The 26398-nt window shown below is 38.4% G+C and overlaps 1 protein-coding gene and 1 pseudogene across 17 annotated transcripts in view; one reads left to right on the top strand and one right to left on the bottom strand.

The window, feature by feature from the left end:
• The window catches only part of REPS2 (RALBP1 associated Eps domain containing 2), a 249998-nt gene that overhangs the window by 86102 nt on the left and 137498 nt on the right, over nt 1-26398 (bottom strand). For all 17 annotated transcript variants that reach the window (XM_017029956.3, XM_011545603.3, XM_011545606.3 and 14 more), the window contains one exon: nt 6775-6836. In XM_017029956.3, the coding sequence (XP_016885445.1) occupies nt 6775-6836 (62 nt within the window). The remainder of the gene's footprint in view (nt 1-6774; nt 6837-26398) is intronic.
• On the top strand, nt 10013-12161 carry CBX1P2 (chromobox 1 pseudogene 2; annotated as a pseudogene).

Below are 26398 nucleotides of genomic sequence, written 5' to 3'. Positions count from 1 at the left end.
CGCCCGGCTAATTTTTGTTTTTTTTTTTTTGAGTAGAGATGAGGTTTCACCATGTTGGCCAGGCTGGTCTCGAACTTCTGACCTCAGGTGATCCACCCACCTCGGCCTCCCAAAACTTTTTGAGTACCAACATGACACTCAAAGGAAATGCTCACTGGAGCATTTAGGATTTTGGATTTTCAGATTTGAGATGGTCAACTAGGTAAGTGTAACGTAGATATTCCCAAAAAAAAAAAAAAAAAAGTGAAATCTAAACCACTTCTGGTCCCAAGCACTTCAGACAAAGGGTACTCAACCTATACTTCATTTTACTATCTTAAAAATTGATTTAGTATGTATTAAAAATAGATTCAGTATGTATGTTATGCTTTAATAAAATTAACACTTAAAAATGGATTAGATAGCCCTGTAAGAGACTTACATAATCACCAGGAATTCCTTCCCCTGCCCCAAAAAAGTATGTGTGGTCTAAAACTCTTAATTTCTCCCAGAAGAATTTACTATTTTGAATCACCAACTGTGTATTAACTTGTGGAAAGAATAATTTAAATGACAGGATATTAATTAAAAGGATAGAGTATTTAAAATGGTGTTGAATATTTCACAAATTCAGGGCCTACGAACTGCCATTTAAGTTTAAGTGAGCTGCAGTTTTTACTTCCAAATAAAACAAATGTAGTATTTTATAAAAAGTTGTGTCTAAAAAATTAGTCTTTGAAAAAGAGTAGCATGACTGCCATATTCCTATTGGGTTCAATATCACTTTCAGGACCTGATTCTAGCCAGATTATGAAGTTAGATGAAGAATTAACTCAATGGACCACAGTTGTTCTGGTTTCCTCTTGAGGCCATCTGTGTTCATGGCTAGCCTCTCACAGTAGTACACACAGGACCTGAGGCACACAGTGACTAGTTCTTCCAGCAGGACCTTCCTGTCACATCCTCTAGCCCTGTTCACATCAGTCACCACAAGAATCCCTTGACTCCCAGGCCCCTTGTGATCTGAGTTCTTGTCCCCATAGGGTCTGAGTACATCCCCTAAGCTGACCTCATGCCTCCCCAACTCCAGAACCCCTTTCATTGTGCCCTATAAGAACTCATCAATAAAATTCCCTATATTCTCAACCTCTTCTCTGAGCATTCCTTCCTCTTGCCCTAATTCAGTGCTTCTCAACTCTGGCTGCACTTCAGAATCACCTGGAGAGGTTTTTAAACCTCCCAGTGGCCGGACCTCAGCACCCCATGCCAAAATCTCTGGGAGGGGCTCCAGGCCTCAGCACGTTCAAAGCTCCCCCAGATGATTCCACTGTGCAGCCAAGGGTGAGAACCACTAGGCTAAAACCCTGTCCTCCCGTCAGTTTCTGCTCCCCAGACAGAACTCCTTTGGTAGGGGCTGTTTCTCTCCCACATCCCTACCAGAACTGGAACTGGAAGTGAGCAGGAGGCTTGCTCCCCATGGCCACTTCCAGAACACTACAGCCATTTTCCCTACAATCTGGCTTTCCAAATCTCAGGCAGCTCCTCAAACATACCAGGACCTCTTGCAAGCCTGTTTCTCTGCATTTGGGTTTTTTTTTTTTTTTTAAATCTGCAGTAAAGCTCTGTATCTTTTAGCCAGCTAAAAAAAAAAAAAAAGTTCTGTTGTTTCTTTAAAACTAATTTCATTGGTCATCTCACCCCTTCCATGAGTCTTCTTGGTCTCTCTAAGCTTAAAGGTATTCATCAAATGCTTCTCCCACAGTGCTTTCACCTTCCAGTGCTATTTTTAGTACTCATTACATTGCTAGTGAGGAAAACTTTGTTACATATAAGGTGAGAAATTAGTGGCAGAAATAGGAAAATTCTGAGCACATTAGTCTGCAGGGAACCCCAATTTATCAAATGTGGTGCTAATAGAAAACTTAAAAGATAATGTCTTGCACCCCCAAAATCTTTTCTTTATTATAGTTACACTGAAGCTGTGGCTCTATCACAATTGCCATAAGAAAACTGTCATGAGATCAACACTATTAAAAGGACTTAGCTACTGAAGTACCAAACAGTCCCTTGGCAGAGAACTGACCTACAGAATAAACACAAACTCGCCGGGCACGGTGGCTCATGCCTGTAATCCCAGCACTTTGGGAGGCTGAAGTGGGCAGATCACGAGGTCAGGAGTTCGAGACCAGCCTGGCCAACATGGTGAAACCCCCATCTCTACTAAAAATACAGAATTAGCCGGGCGTGGTGGTGCATGCCTGTTATCCCAGCTACTCGGAAGGCTGAGGCAGGAGAATCGCTTGAACCGGGGAGGTGGAGGTTGCGGTGAGCCAAGATCGCGCCATTGCACTCCAGCCTGGGCAACAAGAGCGAAACTCCATCTCAAAAAAAAAAAAAAGAATAAACACAAACTCTACAGATGGCAATTTACTGGATTTATTAAAATGATACAAACAGTGGGCTAATACATTTAACTCTCACTTTAACACTGCTCTAGGCCGGGCACAGTAGCACACGCCTGTAATCCCCAACACTTTAGGCTGAGGTGGGAAGATCACTTGAGCCTGGGAGGTCAAGGCTGCAGTAAGCCCTGAACATGCCACTGCACTCCAGTCTGGGTGACACAGCGAGACCGTCTTAAGAAAACAAAACAAAAACAAACAAAAGAATGCACTGCTCTATATGAAATAGTTTACTTTAATTGCTTTTTGGTTATTTATGCTATAAATAAGTCTTTTTTCAAAAAAAAGTCACCTCTTCTGAGCTGAGCCAAAAGACCATGCCCTAGTCTCTAGTCTTGCCACAGGAAAATGTGAAACACAAACTACTTAATTTTGTATATAGTCACTAGGTTCTTCTTGATCTTACCTATAGTATGAAAAATAAAAAGATGTTTCTTTTAACTTATTCCTTTTCCTAACTCCAGGGCCCCATTTGTATAACTTAATCCAGATGTTCATATCACAGTGGTGCTTGAATAAGTATGAGCCAGCTAAACTGCATGTTATGCTGAAAACCTATACTTCATCTCTCTCATTTGATAAAAGAATATATGCTTTTGGTGTATGTAGAAACAATCTTTATATATCTCTGTATGCATATTGCAAATGTACAAACTCATTTTTCTTACATACTTAAAACCTGGAAAGCCAGGTTTGGTAGTGTGTGCCTATGGTCCCTAACTACTTGAGAATAGTAGTTTTCAAATTTAAGAAATCCTCACAAGAGAACTTCCAAAACTTGAGATTCAATCAACACAAGCTGGTCTGAAACAGAATTGTTTCTTCATAATACATGAATCCAGAGATATGAGTAGCTCTGAGCAATCTATGAACCGATTCTATAACTAGGGAACATACAGTAAAAGGTACTGCCAAAGTTAACAAAGGAAAAATACATTACACAAAACAAGCATTCCACTTGAATATTCAACCTTGATAAACTTAAAACAATGTTATCTAGGGCAAATGATAAATTTATCAGAACCTGATTTCACTTTAAAATAGAGCCCTTTATTTTGACCTTTGATCCTTTCCCCATTGCTTGTTTTTGTCAGGTTTGTCAAAGATCAGATGGTTGTAGATGTGTGGTGTTATTTCTGAGGTCTCTGTTATGCTCCACTAGTCTATATGTCTATTTTGATACCAGTACCATGCTCTTTTGGTTACTGTAGCCTTGTAGTATAGTTTGAAGTCAGGTAGCATGATGCCTCCAGCTTTGTTCTTTTGGCTTAGGATTGTCTTGGTTATATGGGGTCTTCTTTGATTCCATATGAAATTGAAAACAGTTTTTTCTAATTCTGTGAAGAATGTCAATGGTAGTTTGATGGGAATATCATTGAATCTATAAATTACTTTGGGCAGCCGGGCATGGTGGCTCATGCCTGTAATCCCAGCACTTTGGAAGGCCGAGGCAGGTGGATCACGAGGTCAGGAGATCGAGATCATCCCGGCTAACACAGTTAAATCCCGTCTCTACTAAAAAATACAGAAAATTAACCGGGCGTGGTGGCAGGCACCTGTAGTCCCAGCTACTCGGGAGGCTGAGACAGGAGAATGGCGTGCACCCGGGAGGCAGAGCTTGCAGTGAGCTGAGATCACCCCACTGCACTCCAGCCTGGGCGATAGTGCGACACTCCGTCTCAAAAAAAAAAAAAAAAGTTACTTCAGGCAGTATGGCCATTTTCACGATATTGATTCTTCCTATCCATAAGGATGGAATGTTTTTCCATTTGTTTGTGTCCTCTCTAATTTCCTTTAGCAGTGGTTTGTAGTTCTCCCTGAAGAGGTCCTTCACATCCCTTGTTAGCTGTATTCTAAGTATTTTATTCTCTTTGTAGTGATTGTGAATGGGAGTTCATTCATGATTTGGCTCTCTGCTTGCCTATTCTTGGTGTAAAGGAATGCTTGTGCTTTTTGCACACTGATTTTGTATCCTAACAGGTATTTTATAAATAAAGATATCAATGGTCACAGAAGCTAGGAAATTGCTGGCTTTAACAAAATTTACTAGCTTTACTTACTGTAGGCCTCCAAAGCCTTTAGTGAGCTCACTTGCACAGCGACTCTCCCAGAGGGGTAGAGGGGCAGCAGTCTGCAAATCTGTACCACAGAGCCCTATTAATATCTCCCAGAGACTGTTTTATCACAAGCAGTTTGGGAAAGACTAGAATATATAGGTGTCCCATACAAAGTGGTTAGTAAGACGCTCATAGGGTCAATACCAACTTGACATGGCACAAAAACTAAATATAACCATGTGTTTATTGCCCAGGACTTCATATATCTGAATATGTGTGTCCCACTTACAGTGGGTGAAAGGAGGGAATAGGGGAGAGAAATGGAATGTGGATCTTCTGCCTCCATTTCTTACACACCTGTTCCTGAAATCTGAAATCTCCATAGTTAGGCAGCTGATAGGCTGAGTACTGGGCTCACTGTTTATATTGTGATGGGAAATCTGGTAGACAAAGAAGCAGACTCATTCATTAACAGTGACTAGAGAATTCCCAGATCCCCCAGTCAGATCTTTGGTGACTAAGCTCCAAAAGCAGGCAAGAAGCCCACCTCAAGCAGCTCAGATGAAGACTGCTGATAGCAGCAGCATATTTTGGGACCGGGTAGTAACTACTGGCATTTGTGCAGGAAGAGAAAGCTAGAAGGTTGGTTACAAAAGTCAATTCAGACAGGTCTTCCATGCATTCAACCAGGTGGCTCTCAAGCCCCAGGCTTGAACTAGCAGCTAGCAAATGCCTGCTCATTTTGTTGTGACCAAGTCCAGGTTTGCTGTTGGTGTGGAGCAGGAGCCTCATCTCATCAAGGTCCTCCTTAGGGGCCTGTGATGAAAGCCTCCATTGCAAGTGTAATGGATCTGCTGTCTGGCTGTACACATAGACACTCAGACTCCAGTGATGGTGACAGGAGGAGCCTTTAGGAGACAGATTGCAATTTGGGAGCTGGCTCTACTATTTACTAGCTATGCCACCTTGGGTAACTTGCTTAGCCCCCATATACTTCAACTTCCTTATCTGTTAAAAAAAAAAAAGGGATAATATTAGTACCTGTATCTACCTCAGAGGGGTTTTGTGAGGATTAAATAATGCACTGAAAGCACTTAGCACAATGCCTGATTTATTGGAGATGCTCAACAGACACAGCTAATAATTTGAATGAGAAGAAATTACAGCCAATGAAAGGCTTAGGGCAAAACTAAGGTTTGGCATTAGATATACAGCAGGGACTCAATAAATACTTGTTGACGGTTCAACCAATATCTCTTAAGGCCAATGTTACATCCTGGAAAGGAGTTCTCGCTGGTTTATATGCAGGTCAGGAAGAAATGGGCTTTTTATTACCCTTCGCACTAAAGCAGGAAGCCAATATCTCATAGTATTTGCATCTCAAGGTTGAGTGGATGCTAAAAACCATTTCATTCACTGAAAGAAGGACAAGCATGTGTTAAAAGTGGTTTCAGTGACTCATGAGTCCTGAGATGTCCCCGTATGGAAGGATAGCTCTGAACCACCCAGAACAATGAAGTAGAAACAGGGACTGTGTACAGAGAAATTTCCCAAAATTTTCTGCCAAAAATCAGAAAGGGTCTTTAAAGATAGAAAGTTTCTTCAGCAGCAATTAACAAAAGGAAAGATCTGTAGCACCATATACCACACTCCACTGTTTGCTTCTCATTTTCAGCTCTGCAAAGTGTTGATGAATAAGGCCATAGTGGCACATGTAAATAAGGCAGAATTAATTTAGGGGTGAAACAGATCTTGGTGACATGTTCTCCCCCTCCTGCTATCTCAGCTTTTTGTTCTGAGGAAAAATACCATCCTACAGAAAGCACCATAGGCCAAAACCACGGCACTAACCCCATGTTGATAACCATTTATTTTTCATTTATGTAGAATTAACATAGCTCCTAAAGTACTGACGAAAATATAGGCACCCAGATTGCACATACTATACAGAAAAACCATGTCTCCACCTCCAATTAGAGAGAGGCCCCTTCTTCTACCCTTCTCTGGGGATGAAAACAGACGCACCCCTGGACAGCCAAGAGTGAACTAGTATATGTATGCTTGGTGGCTTATTGAGGAAACTTTCTCTCTTCCACATGAGGCTGGGGAGCTGGCTGGATGAGAATAAATTAAACCACTCTCTGCTCTCTTCACAGGGTATCAGCTTGGGAATCTCATGGACCAGATCTGTGGCGATCAACCCTTGCAAAGAAGCACAGCGATAGGACAACTTCCCTACCACCGAACAGTTTACATAAATCAAATATGTCTCCTACCTGTGATGGACAAGGTCTTGGAGGGAGCGCAGGTGGTGGGGGTAACAATCCTGACTTGGTAGCTGAAAAGAAAAACACATACTATTAAGGATCACCCCCCAAAAATAAACAACAAAAAACTCTTATGCTTGTTAACTTGGAATGGCAATGGCATTTGCATTTAACATCTTTAAGTTTTTACAGTCCTTCTGAAGGCTTAAGAAAAAAGAGTACACGTTATTTCTAATCCCTTTTTCATTGTCATCCTAACCCAAACTCAAGTATTTATGTAGGCTGTTATGATTAAGACGACATAATAAAATGGTACAGAAAAGACACCTAAAACGCAGCAAGGGAAAGGTGGTCAATTCCTCATTATTCTAATGTTATTTCGTTTCAAACAATCTAGGGCAAAAGTCAGAAAGGGTCTTCTTTGATTTCTCTCATATTTCTCCCTAGCTCTCAGCCACTACACTGCTCATTAGCTCAATGAGTAGGCTACAGAAACTAAGAGAGCTGGAACCCAAATGAGGAAGCTTGGCCACCCTGTAAATGCTCCTGGGAATGGATCTGAAAGCAGTGAGGGAGGCTGACAGTGATAGACTGAAATGATATTTAGGGATTCTTCAAAGACCTCAATTTCTTTTTCTCTCCCTAATATTTATTATCAGGGATAACTAAAGCTGTTCCTAAAATAATCTGGCCACATCTGAAGAATCTTTACAAAGTATCAGTCTAATTTTAAATTTTGTGAGATAGAGAATACTGAGTTAAGCCAAGAACATCTGAATTGTACCTTAGCAATGAAAATAAACAGCTGCTATGAAATTATAAATAAAGTTCATAATAACACACAAGAAATAAGTTTAGCATTACACACTGGCAAGTTAAACCACATTCTTTACAAAACTCCTTAGAAAAACACCATCGTCCAAATAACTATATGTAGTTTATTTGCAAATTTGTACTATGCATTTGGACAATTTTCTGTGCCTTAAAAAATAAATCAGAGCAATGTACCAAGAACATAAAAGAACATAAAAGATTTTGCAAATTACTTTTGATTTCCCTTAGCTAGCTGGATCAGACAAGCTAGAAGACGGAGTTTGGTGTGTTCCACAAATGTAACTCAGGGTAATATCACAGAGATTTTCATTTTGAGCCAGTGCATGGATATGGTACAATCATGTTGGCCTATCTATGATTTCTCTCTATCTGTCTTTCATTAAAATTTATGAAACACATCGGTGGGTTAAAACTCCAGAGGTGGTGAGACCTTGAACAGCTGTCAATAACAAAGCACACAGCAGGAGAGAATGCTGAAAGCCTTCAGGAATTATTCATCTCAGGGCTCCTACTCTTTAGATCCTCACAGATTGGACCTTTAAAATTAACAGTTACTTTCAAAACAAATGAAACAAGCCAGGCATGGTGCCTCATGCTGTAGTCCTAGCACTTTGGGAGGCCAAGGTAGGCGGATCCCTTGAGCTCAGGAGTTTGAGACTGGCATAGGCAACATGGATAAACCCCTTATCTACAAAAAATACAAAAACTAGCCAGGCGTGGTAGTGCACACCTGTAGTCCCAGCTACTTGGGAGGCTGAGACGGAAGGATCACTTGAACCCAGGAGTTGAGGCTTCCGTGAGCCATGATTGTGCCACTGCACTCCAGCCTAGGCAACAGAGTGAGACCCTGTCTCATTCATAAATAAAATAAAATAACATAACATAACATAACATAACATAACATAACATAACATAACATAACATAAAATAAAATAAAATAAATCTACGCAAACTTTAAGGGAAAGGCCAAGCAATTGTATTAACGTGTGTTAAAACAACTCCTTATTAACAAAAAAGAGGACTATACAAGAAATGATGAGCCATTTAATTAAATTGACTTGTGCTTCCAGCCAAGATGAAGTAACAGAGAGATTTACCCACCCATTTAAAACAACCAAAAACACATAGAAAAAAAAATATGAAACAACAGTTTTCAAGGCACTAGAAAATCAGGCAACAAAAGACAGTGACCCCTGAGAGAGAGGAACCAACCAGGTGAGCCCTGTGGCTGACTGTCCCTACTCACTGCCTTGAGAGTTATTAGAAACAGTATTTAGATCCTGATTCGGATCTCATTAAGTTCTTTTGTATGATTTAATTTTTTTTAAAGACAAATGCCCTGCTCTTGTAAAAGATGATGTGTGGGTCTATTTCTGAATACACTTTTAGATAAAAGCATGTCACCTACAACATCATTTATTGTGGTTTATCAGAAATTGCCCCAAATATGAAGAAGAAATAGGGTAAAAGACTGAGGCCATTTAATATGGAATTGTTTTAATTTCTCACAATTGAGCTTCAAGCAACAAAACAGTATCACAGGTATGTGTCCGTTGTTCATTCTGAATCTCTCATTGTAAGAGTTGGCATAGAGGCCTGGCGCGATGGCTCACGCTTGTAATCCCAGCACTTTGGGAGGCCAAGGCGGGCAGATCATGAGGTCAGGAGATCGAGACCATCCTGGCTAACACAGTGAAACCCCATCTCTACTAAAAATACAAAAACAAAAAAAAATTAGCCAGGCATGGTGGCGGGCGCCTGTAGTCCCAGCTATTTGGGAGGCTGAGGCAGGAGAATGGCGTGAACCCGAGAGGTGGAGCTTTCAGTGAGCCGAGATCACACCACTGCACTCCAGCCTGGGTGACAGAGCCAGACTCCATCTCAAAAAAAAAAAAAAAGAAAGAAAAAGAAAAAGAAAAAAAAACAAGAGTTGGCATAGGTTATTTTCCTCATTAAATTCTGAGAGCATTTTTTGGGGGGAAGCCCCCACATTTATATCAAAAATATTATACTTGACAGGATATCACTCTGTTGCCCAGGCTGGAGTGCAGTGGCATGATCATTAACACTGCAGTCTCAAACTCCTGGGCTCAAGCAATCCTCCCACCTCGGCCTCCTAAAGTGTTGGGATTACAGGTATGAGCCACTGTGCCCAACCATATTAAACAAATACTAAGAGCAGCTTTGTTTCCTCTTTTCAGTACCTTTGCCACGTTTTTTATTTTTCCAGTCTTACCTAGTTAGAATTATCTACTGTAAAAGTTGAATTTAAATGGTGATAATGGGCATTCTTGTCTTCTCTTGATCTCAAAGGGGAGCATTTACTAGCTCACCATAAGGTATGGTGTTGGTGTTTGCTGTAGGTATGTTGTAGATACCCTTTAATAGATTATGAAGGCGGTGCAGGCAGTGGGCAGTGGGCAGCACAGAGTGCAGGGCTCTTTTGTTCGGCTGAGAGGAGGGCCATTAGCCGAGGCCTGCGGTACACCATTTCAGCAAGGGGCTCCTTTGCAGCTACCCTTGCTGCTTTTCTGAGCGCCACTGCCCTGGCCGACCCAATGCGCCAATAGCGCAGCACCGATTCCTTTCCGGCTCCTGGGCACTGCTCTGAGCAGCATCACCCTTTACACACACGCTATGGAGAAAAAACAAAACAAGAAGAAAGTGGAGGAGGTGCTAGAAGAGGAGGAACAGGAATATGTGGTGGAAAAAGTTCTCTACCGTCGATTGGTAAAGGGCAAAGTGGAGTACCTCCTAAAGTGGAAGGGATTCTCAGATGAGGACAACACATGGGAGTCAGAAGAGAACTTGGATTGCCCTGACCTCATGAGTTTCTGCCGTCACAGAAAACAGCACATGAGATAGACAAATCAGAGGGAGGCAAGCACAAAGCTGATTCTGATTCTGAAGATAAGGGAGAGGAGAGCAAACCAAAGAAGAAGAAAGAAGAGTCAGAAAAGCCACGAGGCTTTGCTCAGGGTTTGGAGCCGGAGCAGATTATTGGAGCTACAGACTCCAGTGGAGAGCTCATGTTCCTGATGAAAGGGAAAAATTCTGATGAGGCTGACCTCGTCCCTGCCAAGGAAGTCAATGTCAAATGCCCACGGGTTGTCATATCCTTCTATGAGGAAAGGCTGACGTGGCATTCCTACCCCAAAGAGGATGATGACAAGAATTAACTCTCCTGAGTACCAGCCTCTATCACATCTGACTGTGGGTTTCAGGTGGGAAGGAAAGAAGTTCTACTTGTCTTGACACCATAGAGGTAGCTTGAGAAGATGCCCTTTGAAGAGCCAGTATCGTTTCTGTGCCCTGCAGCAGCCCAAGTGTTTTAAAGCCATTCCAAGCTGTATAGTTTGCACACCCGTCCCAGTGGAGGGGAAGGGGGATAAGTGCTTCAAGGCAACCTTTTCTGCACTTTGCTGAGAAAAAGCAAAGGGCCCTTTATGAAGGACAAAACTTGCAGAACTGGGTGTGTGGGAGAGCAAAAAAATACTGTAGATAATCAAAGAGCATCTCCGCAACGCACAACTTTCTTCCCAATAGTGTTAACTCTACATTTTTACAGCGTAGCAAATGTGTAGTTTTTGGCTATTACTGGTGTATTATGTGGGAGAGGGAGGAATGGGGAGGGTGGAAAGGGAGATGGGTAGCATCATTTTGATTAAAATTTGGGGCCTGATAGGGGACATGGTGAAGCAATGCAAAGAACAGAAAACTAATGATTTGCTTCTATGTCCAGAATATTTTACCTTTGAAAAAAATGTCACTGGCACCATAAATACGGACTGTGAGAGACTTTAAAAGCTGTGAATGTCTGAAATCTATAAGCCATGGTGTTCCCTGCCTAAACTTAATGTACTTAGTCTCACAAAGGACTAAGCCAGTTAATAAGTTACCAGAGTTGCCATTTTGGAGATGGAAATTGACTGAGGAAGGAAGGTCTTTTATTGGAGAGTATACAGTACAAGCAGATCATTCTGCCTCAGAGGTGCTAATTCCTGAAATTAGAAGACCCTTTCTTTTCCAATAATAAAGTTATAAATATCAGCTTGTTCATCCTAGCCACTGGCTGAGGTGTTGGGGAAGGGAAAGAGGGTGGTAGAGGAGATAAGACAGGAGGGAAGTAAAGGGCCCATGCTCTTAGTTGGGACAACTTTTGGAGCCATTCTCTTTTGAGCTTTGAACTCTGAAACCATTGGTGGCAGAGTTCAGTCACTGACAGCACAAGTTTCACTGAATTGACTCAAGAGTTGAGTGATTTCAAAAGCCTTGGTCTCAGGAGATTAAACTTTCATACTGGGCAGTGGTTCACTTTAAAACACACACACACACACACACACAAAACCATTTTTTAACAAATCCTAAGAAGTAACTGATACCCAAAATGCTCTGTCTTGAGTCATGAGATCCATCAGTTCTTGATATTATCTAGACTTGGATCTAGAGCTACATTGTAAAATCTTTTTAGGCATGTGTTAGATTTCTTTGAAAACTTTGTTTGAATGTAAACTTCACACCACACTCTCAGTTTTTGTCTTAATAAAACTATAGATATATAATCCCTGAAAAAAATAGATTATTATGAAAATTCCTATCCTTATTTTGAGACTTCTTTTCAGGATAATTTGTTGTTGGATTTTAATCAGAGCTGTAACTCTAGCCATTGAGATTATGGTATTATTTTTTCCTTATAATTTGTTAATGTGGTAAATTACATTCTGGATTGTCTAATATTAAAACACCCTTGCAGACCTGGGATAATCTCAACTTGGTAAGTTTTTTATATCTGCTAGATTTGGTTAGCTGATATTTTGTTTAGGATTTTTGCAACTATCTTCATGAGTGAGACCTGCAAGTGATTTCCTTTCTCATATGGTCCTCTATTATGCTTCATTCAGGTGGAGAGCACCACCCCCAAACCCCTACCATGCCCTGTTTATACTCTTAAATAGGTTGTATAAGATTGGAAATTTTTTCTTGAATATCAAATAAAAATTTTCCCAGGAGAGCCACCTGAGCCCGGAGTTTTCTTTAAACAAGATTTTAAACTATGATTCTGCTTCTTGAATTGTTATAGGACTTTTCAGACTTTCTAATTCTTAAGTCGATTCTGATAAATGATATTTTTCTAGGCATTTATTCATTGCCTAAAATTTCAAATTTATTAGCATAATGGTGTCCATACCCCCCTCTTATTATTATTTTAATCTCTGCATGTGTAATTGTCTTTTCCCATTCCTCATACTCCAGTTTTCCTTCACTAATCTCAGCTGGCATTTGTCAGTTTTGTTACTCTTTTCAAAAAACCAACTTTTAACTTTTTTGAGCCTCTGTATTGTATGTTTGCTTTCTGTTTTATTAATGCTGCTTATCTTCTTCCATTTACTTTCTTTGGGCATATCTTGTTCTTTTTCTATCTTAAATTGGTTGCTTAGTTCACTAATTTGTAGCTTTTATTTTCTAATGTAAGCATTTAGGGTTATAAATTTTTTCCAAGTACCTCTTTAGTAGAATATCATAGGTTTTTATTTGTGATATTATCACTCAGTGCTAAAAGCTTCCTAATTTCCATTACAGTTTATTTTATGATGTCTAAAGTATGTCTTTTAGAATTTCCTTAATTGAGAAGTCTATTAGTAGCAAACTTAGTTTATTTGATTGAAAAGTCATTTTTCCCCTCTTGAAAGAGGATTTAATTGGGTATAGAATTCTAAATTGACAGCTATTTTCTCCCAGCACATTGACGGTAACATTCCACTGCCTTCTGGTTTCTACTATTGCTATTAAGAAGCCAGCTCTCAGTCAAATCACTCTTTTGTTAGATGGCCCATCTTCTCTCTGGTTGCTTTTAAGATCTCCTCTTTGTTTTGGGTACTCTGAAATATCAAACTTTATCCTATGTCTGCACATGTATTTCTCTACCATCATTTTATCACTTGCTTGAGCTTCACTGGAATTTCTGAACCATGTAGCAACCCATTAATTTTGGTCAATTCTCAGTGATTCTTTAAATGTTGTATTTCTACCATTTTTCTCTCCCCTCTCCTTCAAGAGCTTTCTAACTGTACTGTGTTCTAGACAATTTTCTACGATCTACTGTCCAAGTAACCAATTCCCTCTTTAGTCGTTCTTAATGTCTAACAAAATCCAGTCTTCGAGTTTATGTTACAGAATTGTTCTTTTCTAGAAGTTCTATTTGGTCTTTTTTGAAAATGTTTTTTTCATTTTTATAATTTCTTGGCCATTCATTTTCTTCCTCTTTTCTTTTCTTTTTTTTTTTTTTTTTTTTTTTGAGACGGAGTCTCGCTCTGTCGCCCAGGCTGGAGTGCAGTGGCGGGATCTCGGCTCACTGCAAGCTCCGCCTCCCGGGTTCACGCCATTCTCCTGCCTCAGCCTCCCAAGTAGCTGGGACGACAGGCGCCCGCCACTACGCCCGGCTAATTTTTTTGTATTTTTAGTAGAGACGGGGTTTCACCGTTTTAGCCGGGATGGTCTCGATCTCCTGACCTCGTGATCCGCCCGCCTCGGCCTCCCAAAGTGCTGGGATTACAGGCGTGAGCCACCGCGCCCGGCCTCTTCCTCTTTTCTTTCAACATATTTATATAATTTCAGTATCTGAGGGCTTTGTATTTCCTGTTTGTTCTTGCTCATTGTGCTTCATTTCCTAGTGTGCTTAGCAACCTGTGACTCTAAACTCAAATTCCTTGGAACTTTACCGACAGGAAAACTTTGAGGCATGTGGAAAGTGAATTCCTCTTCCCTCTATCGCTTCTGCCAGAAATCTGAGGGTACTATCAACCTGGGACCACTTTAAACTAAAATCTTGGCTTGATACTGTGTAAAATTCCTTGTTTCTTGTGTATGACCCAACGTTTTATTAAATGTCCTATCCAAAGACTTTTGAGTATAGACAGCAGTTCAAATACATGTAACTAATCTCACTCTTAACTCATTAACACAAAAATGAAGAGAACTGTTTAAATGCTCTTGTTTAAATTTGGAACTGGGAAAACAGATGAGCAACTAATAGCTGACTAGACAGATCTGAGAAAGCAGGGAGTAACAAATTTGTACCACAGAAGCCCCCCAGTTCTCAGGAATTGGTGGCATCAAACACCTCTGAATGTAGGGGTAAAATGAGGAAAGCAATAAAAACCTAAAGCAATGAACTAATAGTGGATTTATTTCCTACCCTTCAGGAAAAGGGCATACTTTGACAAGACCCTTCAGGATCTGGTTCTAGCTATTCTTCATGCTGTTTTTGGCTTCAGGGGCCCTACTCTTACAGTCCCCTCTGCTGTAGTAGCTATGCCTTATATCTGTCTCACCTGATAACTCAAAATACAGTAAGTGATCAACAAATAGTTCTTTAAACTATCTTAAAATCTATAGGATTATGTTCCATCCTCATTAAAAAAAAAAAAAAAGACTGATTGAAGCAGTTTAGGAGCAGTTTTTTCTCCCACATTCTGCACAGTTTCAGCATGTTTCTCACTCCAGCAAAATGCTAGATATAGTTTTCTTTTCAGGGAAGGCACCAGGCCCAGATGAAGGCATGAGGGCCATGCTGAAAACAGACAGATTCAGTAAAAATATGCACTTTGGATGCTGAGATTCTTCCAGCCTTCTTCCCTTCTGCTCCCAGACTGCTGCTTCCTTCTAGAGATTAGGAGAATGTGTTCCAGAGAATCAGATCAGCCAGGAAGAGACATCTAAAGAGTTGATATCAAGGGATCTCCAACAGGATGGCCTGGCCAGACCATTCTACCATGAAGCCAATAGCTGGCAACTTCCATCAATTTGCTCATATATTCCAAGCAACTTTTTATCCTTCATTATTAAATATAAGTGGATGACTAAGTATTACCAGATATCTGCAGAAAATGTTCTAACCTAAGGTAGGGATCAATAAAAACAGGAAGAAATGACCTCAAAGAAACAGACTAGACCTTTACTAGGAGAAAACGTTAAAATATATATTATTAATATCATCAGAATGATCATTAAGTTTATTCCAGAAACATTTAAACACTAACTATGTGGGAGGTATTGTTCAAGGTATTGGGAAAATATCCATGGGAAAAACAGGGAAAAAAAAAGCTATACCCTTATGAAGCTCATATTCTACTGAGAAAAGAGACAATGGGGTAGAGAGTGACAGATGAAATTTTAACTAGAGTCACCAGAGAAAGTCTCAGTAAGACATAAGAAATGCTATTTGCTAAGATGAAATAATGGGATGCTATTTACAAAGAACATTCAGAAAACAAAACAAAACAAAAAGAATACTTGGAAATTAAAAGATAGCAGAAAGAGAATAGAAAGGTCAAAAATAATCTGAGGAAATCTTCCAGAAAATAGGGTAGTAGCCAAATAAAAGATCCACAAAGAGAAACAGAGAAAACAGCAGGAAAAATAATCAATTAAATGGTTCAATAAAATTTCCCAGAAATGAAGAATATGAATTTCTAAATTTAAAGGACTCACTGAATATCCAGGACAATGGAAGAAAACAGACTCATGACAAGGTATATCATGATATTTCAAAGTACTAGAGTCAAAATAATTTACAAGTTTTCAGCAGGGCATAGGAGAAGAGAGCAAGTCATATACAAAGGATCAGATGTCCAAATGGTTTTAGACTTCTTCATATATCATTAGAAGCTAGAATCCATTGGCACAATTCCATCAAAATTCTAAAGAAAACTTATTTCCAACTGATGATTGTATATCCAAGACTAGCAGCCTGCATGATGATATAATTAAATACATTTTTAGACATTCAGGGTCTCAAATTGAGCTCCATGCACCCTTTCTAAGGAAGCTGCTGAAGGATGTGCTTCACCAAAACAAGAAAGTAAACAAAGAAAGAGAAAGACACAGGATACAGTAATAAAAGAAATCCAACATGGGAAAAAGAGGAAGGGAATCCTTGGATGACAGTGTAGAGAGATCCCATGATGAAAACTATGTACCAGGCATTGAAGACAATCAGTTTCTATTGCTTCAAAAAGCTGAAACTGACAGAACACCTGAGGTGTGAGAATTTCATAAGAGGAACTCTGGAAAATTGAAGACGTCTGTGGTTGAATCAAGGGCAAGTACTTTGAAAAGAAACAAGTTGATTATTCACTCCAAGGCAAACAAAAACCTGTGCAAGTAAAAAAAAAAAGTAATTTACTATATGTCTTACATGGCTATAACAATAATAATATAAACACTAAATATTAATCTAACCAAAATTATAATATAACTATATTGGAAGGGTGGAGGAGAAAGATAATGGGGGAGGGAAGATGATGGCAAAAATTGAAGTCTACAAGAAGTTACACAAATATGCTATTTAGAATTACGAAGGAAATACCAAAATAATCAACATTTTAAAACCCTGCAGCAGAGTGCATTCTCCTAAGTCTTGGAGTTCTATCAATGGCCTTGGAGGAACTTCTCAGACTTCAGTTTGTCCCCAGTTCAGCATGAAGCTCTGGGCCTTCCCCTCTACAATATCAGGATATCAGCTATGATTATTTACTTTTCCAACTCTCTTTCCTGAAGTCATTTCCACTTAGTCAAGAAAAAGGAAAATTACGAGTACTCATTCATTTCACTTTGCTCTAGACCTAGGGTCTCGATGAGAACTCTCAAGATTTGCCTACTCACACACACAGCTTCTGCAAGGAAGCAGGCAGAGTCAGAAGTGCACCCAAAGCCTCAGGTTTCCCTCAGTTGCCACTCTTTCCAAAAAAAAAATTATATATATATATATATATATATATATATATATAGCATTAACTCATGCATTTTTCCTTGTTCGGTTGCTGCTGAAAAATCTCTTCCTTGCATTTATAATTCTGTGTTCCTTTCCTTTAATGGTGGGAGATATTAATCTAGCTACATTCTATCAATTCTGTCTAATTCATCTTTTTGTCTCCCACAGCACCTAAACACACTGCCTTATGTTTAGTAGGTACTCACACAGTGGTTGAAAATTGGAATTAAATTTAATTTTAAAAATCTTCTCTTACAATATTTTCAGTCTGCTCTTGACTTAAAATTGGATCCAAATATTTTATCCAGTATGCCCTAATCAGTCAAAAGAAAAAGTACACCTTCATGCAAAGTGAAATTTAAAAAATACTTTGATCGCATGGTGGAAGGCAAAGGAAAAAAAAAAGAAAAAAAATAGCTGAATAATCTAGTGTGCAGTTGCAAAAGATGACAATATACTTGTTAATAGTAACAACTGCTTTCCTGGGAGGGAAAAGAAGGCAAGAAGACGAGAGAAGAATGTTGTTCCCACATACTTTAAAAAGTGACCATATTCGTCAAGCAATTGCAGGTTTATTCGTCAAGTGTTATAGTTAATAAAGTGGGATACTAGGTATCAGCAAGGCTTTGTCCAGCCAAAAATTTTTATAAGTGTAATCCAAAGGAAAATAATAAATACCCCAATCCTGAAAACCACATTAAAAACTTCAGGAAAAGAAACTGTCATTTAATCCTAAATTCAGAAGACAGACTAATAATTCCTAGTGTTTAAAACAATTTCTTAAGTTTATTGAAAGACATGCAGATTCTGATACTGATTTATTGGATCTCTGCTTCCTGGTACCTTCATCCAAAACTCCAACCTCTAACAATTTTTATCCTCTTATTTCATTACGCTTAGAAATTTCTAGGTAAAATGTTATTCATAAACATTACTATTTACTAATTTCCTTCAGATTTTTACATAGCCCCTAATCAATAACTAAATGAAAATATATTCCAACTTATTGAGTGGAAATAAAGCAGCAGATGTGGCCATTGAAAGCTTCAGGAACAGAGAGCCGATTCTTCAGGGGGAACAAAACTTGGAATAACTTCAGCTGTGGAAAGGGGCTCCCATCCCCCCTAACTAGGAATATTTTATGTGAAGAAAATAAAAGCATTCGAATACCAAAGGGGGGAAAAACACTCAAGGAATGGAAAATGTTGAAAGGAGCCTCCCAGTGGGACCTATACTTTTAAATATCAATCAAGTAAAGAGCCACATGCAAAGCTTTAAGGATTTCATCAGTAAGGACCATTCCTCTTCTTGGCAAGTTCATAAAAATGGCTATTTCTTTGTAACAGAAATTGTTCATTCTTTCTCTCCTTTCTAATCATAAAAGCATGTATGACCTTATACATATCTCTTGATCACCCAGCATACAGTGATGGACATGTATGTCATATACACCAGTGTATGTAACAAAATGTTTGCCAAGAACACCTTTCCAGAAATACCTGCCTCTATCCCCTGATGACCACACACCACCCCCCGAAATACAAGCTCATTTAATTCTCTATGGAACAGAATATACTTTTTCACCAGTTAAAAGAGATTAACTTACACATCCTTGTAACTGTTCAACAAGGAAAATATTAACGACAGAGTTTAGAAAAGTAGTGAGATAAAATCTGATTCTTTCACTTTACAGATGAGAAAATTAAGACCTGGAGAAATAAAATGACCTTGCCAAGGACACAAGGCTACTATCGAGCAGTAATCAGTACCACATTTTGAACCTACAGGGCAGGTAGAGCAGAAAAATGCAGAGATGGAGGATAAACAGCTAGACAGAGGGTATTCTACATTCAGGGAATAAACATGACAGAAGGCTTCAAAGCAAAGAAGTACTGCAACCTCAAGGAGCTCAAAGGATCCTTCTGAACATGCTACAAACCACAAATGAAGTAAATAAGCTACTATATACTATCTAAAAAATATGCCATTGTAGCAAATACTTAAAGACTTCTGAGTCGTGGGATTACCTCTTTGCAAGATTATGTATGACTCCCCTGTGTTAAAAAACATTCAGTATAGTGCTAGCATAAAAATAAACATATAAATCAACAGAACAGAATGCAGTGTCCAAAAATAAGCCCTTATATTTAACAGACAAGTGATTCTCAACAAAGGTGCCAAGGCAACAGGAAAAGGAGAGTATTTTTTGACAAATAGTGCTGGGATAACTGGATATTCATATACGAAGAGATTAACTTAGATCCTTACCTCACACCTTATACAAAAATTAAATCAAAATGGATTCAAGATCTTAACGTAAGAGCTAAAACTATAAAAATTTTACAACAAGAAAAAATCTTCAAGACCTTGGGTTAGGCAGACTTCTCAGATATGACATCAAAAGCACAATCCAAAAGGAAAAAATTTAACATTACACTTTGTCAAAACTCAAAACTTCTGTACTTCAAAACATATCATTAAGAAAACAAAAAGACAAGTCACAGACTGTGGAAAATATTTGCAAATCATCTATCCGATAAAGGATTTGTATCCAGAATATATAAAGAATTACAGAATATACAACTCAACAATAAGACAAACACCCAATTTTTTAATGAGCATGATTTGAGTAGACATCTGACATGGTTTGGCTCTGTGTCCCCACCCAAATCTCATCTTGTATCTCCCATAATTCCCATGTGTTGTGGGAAGGACCCAGTGGGAGATGATTGAACCATGGGGGCAGGTCTTTCCCATGGTGTTCTCGTGATAGTGAATGGGTCTCACAAGATCTGATGGTTTTAAAAATGGGAATTTCCCTGTACAAGCTCTCTTCTCCTGTCTGCCACCATGTGAGACATGCCTTTAGCCTTCTGCCATGATTGTGAGGCTTCCCCGGCCACGTGGAACTGTAAGTCCAACTAAACCTTTCTTTTGTAAATTGCCCAGTTTTGGGTATGTCTTTATCAGCAGCGTGAAAACAGACTAACACAATATCTCATCAAATAAAATACAGGAATAACTAATAAGCACATGAAAAGATGCTCAACATCATTAATCATCAGGGGAATACAAATCAAAACCACAGTGAGATATCACTTCACACACACTAGGATGTAGGATAATCAAAAAGATAATAATAAGTGTGGGTGAGGATATAAAGAAATAGTAACCCTCATACATTTCTGATGTGAATGTAAAATGGTGCAGATACTTTAGAAAACAATTTGTCCATTTCTTAAAAAGTTAAACATAAATTTACCACATACCCAGCAATTCCACCCCTATATATCTAGCTAAGAGAAATGAAACATATGTTCACACAAAGACTTGTATTCAAATATTAATGGCAGCATTATTCATAACAGACAAAAAGCAGAAACAACTCAAATGTCTGTCAAACTGAAGACTGGATAAACAAAATGTGATATAGCTATATAATGGAATACTATTCAGCAATAAAAAGGAATTAAGTACTGATACATGATACAACATGAATGAACCTCAAAAACATCATGCTAAGTAAACAAAGTCAGACAGAAAAGACCTCATATTGTATATTCGGTTATATGAAATATTCAGAAAAGGAAAATCTGCAGAAACACAAAATAGGTTAGTGGTTGCCTGGGGCTGGGCATGGGGATTAACTGTAAACAGGTATGTGCAGTATTATTGGAGTGCTGAAAATGACCTAAAACTGGATTATGGTGAAAGTTGCACTATTTGATAAATTTACTAGAAATCATTAAATTTTACACTTAAAATGGATAAACTTTATGATCTATATACCTCAATAAAGTTTTTTTTAAGCTAAGGGTAGAAAAAAGTATAATTAATAATGTGGGGGAAGACAGATATGAAACAAGATGGGACACAGTTGATTAATTGTTGAAGCTGGATGTTCAGTATACTATTTGTCTTATATTCTTGCTATATTTAGAGCTTTTAATAATAATTTCATTTTTGAAATTAAAAAAAGAAAATAGATATATTATTTCCAAGTATCTATGAGGGCAAAAGCTCCTTTCCTATCTCCCTGAAGTACCTCAGAGAAATCTACTAACATTTTAAATCACATAGAAGGAAACACAGAAAAAAACACATTGAAGAGTGCCTTGCAAAGGTTACCATATTCATTCTTTAATACATCCTTTAACTTTAGATATTAATTAGTGTTATTGCCCGTAGAAAAGTAGTAGGGTGTGCCCTCCAAATTAATTTAATGTAGATAGCTTTCTTTGATACCAAATCTGCTGCAACAAAGATCTAAACAAAGATTTCCCAACTTCGAAAGATTCTGGGCAGGATGTGGTGGCTCACACCTGTAATCCAAGCATTTTGGGAGGCCGAGGCAGGTGGATCACGAGGTCAGGAGATTGAGACCATCCTAGCTAACATGGTGAAACCCCGTCTCTACTAAAAATACAAAAAATTAGCCAGGCGTGGTGGTGGGCACCTGTAGTCCCAGCTACTCGGGAGGCTGAGGCAGGAGAACAGCGTGAACCTGCAGAGCTTGCAGTGAGCCGAGACCACGCCACTGCACTCCAGCCTGGGCAACAGAGAGAGACTCCATCTTAAAAAAAAAAAAAAAAAAGGAAAGAAAGATTCTGATGGAGAACAAAGCCATTATATTGCCTGGATCTTAGTCTCCTTGTTGGTAATATGTGAGAGTTGGCCAAGATGACATTCAAGTTCTCTTTTAGCATTGACACTTCATGATTCTAAAATTTATCCATGTTTACTAATAACTCATTTTTCCTGTACCATAGGATACGCAATAAGGGTTAACTAGGTCCTGGATGGAGACATGGGCAGACTTAAGTGACAAAAATGCATGAGATTCAATCTTGGTCAAAGATGGGTGTCTGGTTTCCTCTCTCATATTACATTTACACAAATGCATTCCTCCTAAGCATTTTACTATTAAAACTCTAGGGTTGGTTGAAATCACTAGTTGTGTTTCTGTATATGTTTTCAGGTAAATCAAACTAAAATTTCAAGAAGTACACATCTTTTTTTCAGGATTAGTTAGTATTCATTCACTAGCAGCTGTTTCCATCACACTTTCATTAGCGCTGAATAATGCGGTGGGGGAGAGAGAGAGAATACAAATGTGTGTTAGGAGGAAGGCAATCTATAAAAACAGTCTATCATCTTGGAACTGGCTCTCTTCTACCTCTATCTATCTATCTTATGTATCTTTATCTATCTATCTATCTATCTATCTATCTATCTATCTATCTATCTATCTATCTATCGACAGAGTCTCACTCTGTCCTTGCCCAGGCTGCAGTGCAGTGGCACGATCTCGGCTCACTGAAACCTCCACCTCCCAGGCTCAAGCCTAAGCCTCCCGAATAGCTGGGATTAGAGGCACACATCACCACGCCTGGCTAATTTTTGTATTTTTAGTAGAGATGGGGTTTCTCCATGTTGGCCAGGCTGGTTTTGAACCCCTGACCTCAGGTGATCCACCCACCTCGGCCTCCCAGGGTGCTGAGATTACAGGCATGAGCCACTGCACCTGGCCACTACCATTATTTTTTAAAATGTGACATACAGTCAGAACAACTGCTAAACCTTCGACATTTCAAAATGACTTTGTGATGACAACTTCTCCACACCAAAGTTCCTTGCTTATGCCACAATCTTTTGCAATCTGGCTTAACCCTACCACCCTAATGGGATGTTCTCCTAAGACTTCCCAAAGACACCGTCTACAAACTCCTTCTCCACCAGTCTCCATTTTTCTTGGCCAGCCAGCCAACTTGAATCTTCTAGTCTCTACTTCCTTCCTGTAATACACTCCTCCCCAGGCACTCCAGGCCACAGTACTGTGTCCCTTACTGAGCTAATATAATCACATGGCTTCGGGTTCAGTTCCACCAGAAATTTGGTGATTACATAGTAGGTCCTGAAGAGTTTTGAGTAGGGAAGTGATCATAGGTGTGCTGCAGAAAATTAATCCTGTTGCTTTATGAAGGAAAGAACAAAGCAAGCAAGCCAGATTTGAGGCTACTATAGTAGACACCCAGGAAACTAGTCATAAGAAGTAAATCAAGACAGATGTCAAAAAAGAATAGGATTTGACTGAAAAGTCATATCCTTCAAAGTTTAGCTCACCAGCCCTGTGCACCCCCTGCCCACAAATCCACTGATCATTCTAGTTAGCAACCACCCAAACTCTAAACCCTTCTAACAATCACACACAACTGTGACATTGATTAGCAGAGTTTGGGGGCATATCCATATCCCTCTTGGGATCCTCCAAAGTGCCAAGTACCCAGTAAATGCTCATTAAATACTGGTTGAATAAGACACTTTTCTGGTCACCATTACTGAAGTCTATTTCAGTTTTCATACAATTCTATAAATTCAGATGTATATAAAGAATTTACTGATGTACTGAGAATTATGTTTTATGATCTCCTTCAGCTCACAAGCTTCATAATAGTCACAAATTAAATGTCCAACAATAGGAAAATGCTTAAATAAACCATAGTCCCAATTAATAAAGGTAGAAAAAATAGAGTATCGCCATTTTGCAACTACCAATGAAATAATGGATCTAAGCAGTGGTTTGCTGGAAAAAGCTCATGCCAGCTTGTGAGAGCCAACTGTGTGCATCTGTTCCAAACTCCACATTCAGTAACACATCAGTAGGAATGAAATTAGCCATGGCAGGAGTGTTTACACCATAAAAATTGGCAAGTGGCCGGTTGTTAAACATTCACTGACACACCACTGGATGTAGGCAATGATGATCAATAGCTGATAAAACCATTATTTGAAAGGTCGCTGGGATCTTTATCATAACACATGGATCAGGCCAATACTACGTAAACCCATTAATCAATCAAACACCACAAAAATAAAGGCATTAGACACTAGAGATCTCTTAATGTGGTGCAGTAAGAAGTACACAGCATCTTTAGGTAGTATTCTTGTCAAAAATCTAAACTAACTCTAATCAAGCCTAGACCTACCTATTAGTTTATAGGAAATACATGGGATGGAAGAACAAACAATCAGCAAAATACAGAATGTGAAAAAGTCTACAAGGTAGATGACTTTTTATGAATAAATGAAAAGCAAAGAGGAAAAAAAAGACTGAGAGAAGAACCTATCAGTTAAGAGACTTAAAATATGCCAAAACAAGTGCAATGTGCATGTAGCCCTCGATTGAATTCTGAATGGAACAAACTAGTATAAAAAGACAAACTTGAGACAATTCAGGAAATAGGAACACTGGCCAAATATTAAATGATATTAAAGAATTATTGTTAATTTTGTTATGTATGACAAAGGTATTGTGCTCAAGTATTTTAAGACCTTATCTCTTAGAGAGATATACAAAGAGTTTATATATACAATTATATGATATTTGGGATTTGCTTCAAAATAATATGGGGGTGGAGGTTCTCAACTTTTGCATAAATTTGAAATTTTTCATAATACGGTTTTTAACAGAGCAGCCAGCATATAGATGATATATAAAAGAAATACAAAATTATCAGTACTGACATGGATATCTCCAAGAAATAATGTATAATGTATATCAAAAAGAATAAAACTTTTAGGAATACATTTAACAAAAGAAATGCAAGACTTGTATACTGAAACATTGTTGAAAGACACTTAAAGATCTAAATAAATGGAAAAACATCCTGTGTTCATGCATTGGACAACTTAATGTTATTAAAACCGCAATACTAACCAAACTGATATACAAATTCAATGCAAGCCATACCAAAATCCCAGCTGGCTTTTTTGTTTTTACAGAAATTGACAAGCTGATCATAAATTTCATGTGGAAATGCAAGGGACTCAGAATAACCAAAACAATCCTGAAAAAGAATAAAGCAGGAGGACTCACGCTTCGCAATTTCAAAACTTACTATAAATCTACAATTATCAAGACACTGTGGTACTGGCATAAGGATAGACCTATAGACCAACAGAACAGAACTGAGAGTCCAGAAATAAATCCTTATGTTTATGGTTAATTGATTTTCAACAAAGGTGCCAAGAAAATTAAATGGATAATTAATAGTCTTTTCAACAAATGGTACTGGGACAACTGTATATCCACATGCAGAAAAATGAATTTGGACTCCTAACTCATGCCATATAAAAAAATTAACTCAAAACAGAACGAAGACGTAAATGTAAGACCTAAAACTATAAGACTTTTAGAAGAAAAGAGGAGTGTTTGTGACCTTGAGTTAAGCAATGGTTTTTTAGATATGACAGCAAAAGCACAAGCAACAAAATACATAAATTAGACCTCATCAAAATTAAAATCTTTTATGATTCAAAGGACACCATCAAAAAGATGAAAGGACAACCCACAGAACGAAGGAAAATATTTGTAAATCAAATATCTGTAAAGGAACTTTTATGCAAAATATATAAAGAACATTTACAAATCAACAATAAAAAGACAACCCAATTTTTAAATGAGCAAAGATTCTGAACATTCTCCAAAGACAACATAAATATGACCAATAAGTACATGAAAAGATGTATAACATCATTAGCCATTAGAAAATGCAAATCAAAATCACAATACCACTTCATGCCCACTAGGATGGCTAAAATTAAAAAGGCAATAACAAGTGTTTTGAGGACGTGAAGAAACACAATTGGAATCCTCATAAATTGCTAATGAAATAAATTGGTTTGGCTGCTCTGGAAAATACTTCAATAGCTCCTCAAAATGTTCAACATAGAGTTAGTTACCATATGAACCAGAAATTCCAGCCCTACCTATATACTCAAGAGAAAGAAAAAATATGTTTACACAAAAACTTGGACATGAATGTCTATAGCAGAGTTATTCACAATAGTCAAAAAGTGGAAACAACCCAAATATCCAAAATGTGGTTTATCCATACAATGAAAGATTATTCAGCCATAAAAGGAATGAAGTATTGATTCATGCTACAACATGGATGAACCTTGAGAACATTATACTAAGTGAATGAAGCCAGTCACAAAAGACCACATATTATATGATTCTATTAA

The sequence above is a fragment of the Homo sapiens genome, chromosome X, assembly GCF_000001405.40.
Source record: "Homo sapiens chromosome X, GRCh38.p14 Primary Assembly".
Lineage (NCBI taxonomy): Eukaryota > Metazoa > Chordata > Mammalia > Primates > Hominidae > Homo > Homo sapiens.
The sequence above is the reverse complement of the archived record's forward strand: the minus strand, read 5'-3'. Positions and strand labels throughout refer to the sequence as shown.